The sequence below is a fragment of the Homo sapiens genome, chromosome 3 (genome assembly GCF_000001405.40).
Source record: "Homo sapiens chromosome 3, GRCh38.p14 Primary Assembly".
Taxonomy (NCBI): Eukaryota; Metazoa; Chordata; class Mammalia; order Primates; family Hominidae; genus Homo; species Homo sapiens.
Window position 1 is genome coordinate 110,000,191 of NC_000003.12, and position 2,370 is coordinate 110,002,560.

Genomic DNA, 2,370 nt, shown 5'->3' on the forward strand with positions numbered 1-2,370 from the left:
TCAGAGACTAGGATTGCAACCCCTGCTTTTTTTTTTGCTTTCCATTTGCTGGTAGATCTTCTTTTAACCCTTTATTTTGAGCCTATGTGTGTCTCTGCACGTGAGATGGGTCTCCTGAATACAGCACACCCATGAGTCTTGACTCTTTTTCCAATTTGCCAGTCTGTCTTTTATTTGGGGCATTTAGCCCATTTACATTTAAGGTTAATATTTTTATGTGTGAATTTGATCCTGTCATTATGATGTTAGCTGGTTATTTTGCCTGTTAATTGATGCAGTTTTTTCATAGCATCGATGGTCTTTACAATTTGGCATGCTTTTGCAGTGGCTGGTACTGGTTGTTTCTTTCCATGTTTAGTGCTTCCTTCAAGAGCTCTTGTAAGGCAGGGCTGGTGGTGATGAAATCTCTCAGCATTTCCTTGTCTGTAAAGGATTTTATTTCTCCTTTACTTATGAAGCTTAGTTTGGCTGGATATGAAACTCTGGGTTGAAAATTATTTTCTTTAAGAATGTTGAATGTTGGCCCCCACTCTCTTCGGGCTTGTAGGGTTTCTGCCAAGAGATCCGCTGTTAGTCCCTTTGTGGGTAACTCGACCTTCTCTCTGGCTGCCCTTAACACTTTTTCCTTCATGTCAACATTGGTGAATCTGATAATTATGTGTCTTGTGGTTGCTCTTCTCAAGGAGTATCTTTGTGGTCTCTGTATTTCCCGAATTCGAATGTTGGCCTGCCTTGCTAGGTTGGGGAAATTCTCCTGCATAATATCTTGAAGAGTATTTTCCAACTTGGTTCAATTCTTCCCATCACTCTCAGGTACACCAATCAAACTTAGATTTGGTCTTTTCACATAGTTCCATATTTCTTGGAGGCTTTGTTCGTTTCTTTTTACTTTTTTCTCTAACTTTGTCTTCTCACTTTATTTCATTAATTTGGTTTTCAATCACTGTTATCCTTTCTTCCACTTGATTGAATTGGCTATTGAAGCCTGTGCGTGCGTCACAAAGTTCTCGTTCTTGTGCCGTGGTTTTCAGCTCCGTCAGGTCATTTAAGGTCTTCTCTATACTGTTTATTCTACTTAGCCATTGGTCTATTCTTTTTTCAAGGTTTTTAGCTTCCTTGTGATGGGTTCGAACATCCTCCTTTAGCTTGGTGAAGTTTGTTATTACCGACCTTCTGAAGCCTACTTCTGTCAACTCGTCAAACTCATTCTCCATCCAGCTTTGTTCCATTGCTGGCGAGGAGCTGCTATCCTTTGGAGGAGGAGAGGTGCTCTGATTTTTAGAATTTTCAGCTTTTCTGCTCTAGTTTCTCCCCATCTTTGTGGTTTTATCTACCTTTGGTCTTTGATGTTGGTAACCTACAGATGGGGTTTTTTGTTGATGTTGATGCTACTCCTTTCTGTTTGTTAGTTTTCCTTCTAATGGTAAGGTCCCTCAGCTGTAGGTCTGTTGGAGTTTGCTGGAGTTCCACTGCAGACCCTATTTTCCTGGGTATCACCAGCGGAGGCTCCAGAACAGCAAATATTGCTGCCTGATCCTTCCTCTGGAAGCTTCATCCCAGAGGGGCAGCTGCCTATATGAGGTGTCTGTTGGCCCCTACTGGGAGATGTCTCCCACTTAGGCTACATGGGGGCCAGGGACCCACTTGAGGAGGCAGTCTGTCTGTTCTCAGAGCTCAAACGCTGTGCTGGGAGAACTACTGCCCTCTTCAGATCTGTTAGACAGGGTCTTTTAAGTCTGCAGAAGTTGTCTGCTGCCTTTTGTTCAGCTATGCCCTGCCCACAGAGGTGGAGTCTAGAGGCAGTAGGCCTTGTTGAGCTGTGGTGGGCTCCACCTAGTTTGAGTTTCCGGCTACTTTTTTGACCTACTCAAGCCTCAGCAATGGCGGATGCCCCTCCCCAAGCCAGGCTGCCACCTCGCAGATCGATCTTAGACTGCTGTGCTAGCAGTGAGCAAGGCTCCATGGGTGTGGAGTCCCCTGAGCCAGGCACAGGAGAGAATCACCTTGTCTGCCAGTTGCTAAGACCTTGGGAAAAGCACAGTATTAGGGCATGAGTGCCCTGTTTTTCCAGGTAGTCTGTCACAGCTTCCCTTGGCTAGGAAAGGGAAATCCCCCGACCCCTTGCGCTTCCCGGGTGAGGCGATGCCCTGCCGTGCTTTGGATCACCCTCTGTGGGCTGCATCCACTGTCCAGCCAGTCCCATTGAGAAGAACCAGGTACCTCAGTTGGAAATGCAGAAATCACCCATCTTCTGCGTCGATCATGCTGGGAGCTGCAGACCAGAGCTATTCCTATTTGGCCATCTAGGAATGCCCCCCTGGATTTGTTTTCTTAAAAGTTGATTTCCTTGAAAAAATCAGTTTATATTTC

At 45.3% G+C, this 2,370-nt stretch overlaps 1 annotated feature.

Annotated features, from left to right (window-relative positions):
• Positions 1,351 to 1,851: an enhancer, noted in NCBI's record as "H3K27ac hESC enhancer chr3:109720388-109720888 (GRCh37/hg19 assembly coordinates)". NCBI's record gives its function as "activates a minimal SCP1, AML or CMV promoter by ChIP-STARR-seq in primed H9 embryonic stem cells {active_cell/tissue: H9 hESC(primed)}" and the evidence as "EXISTENCE:reporter gene assay evidence [ECO:0000049][PMID:30033119]".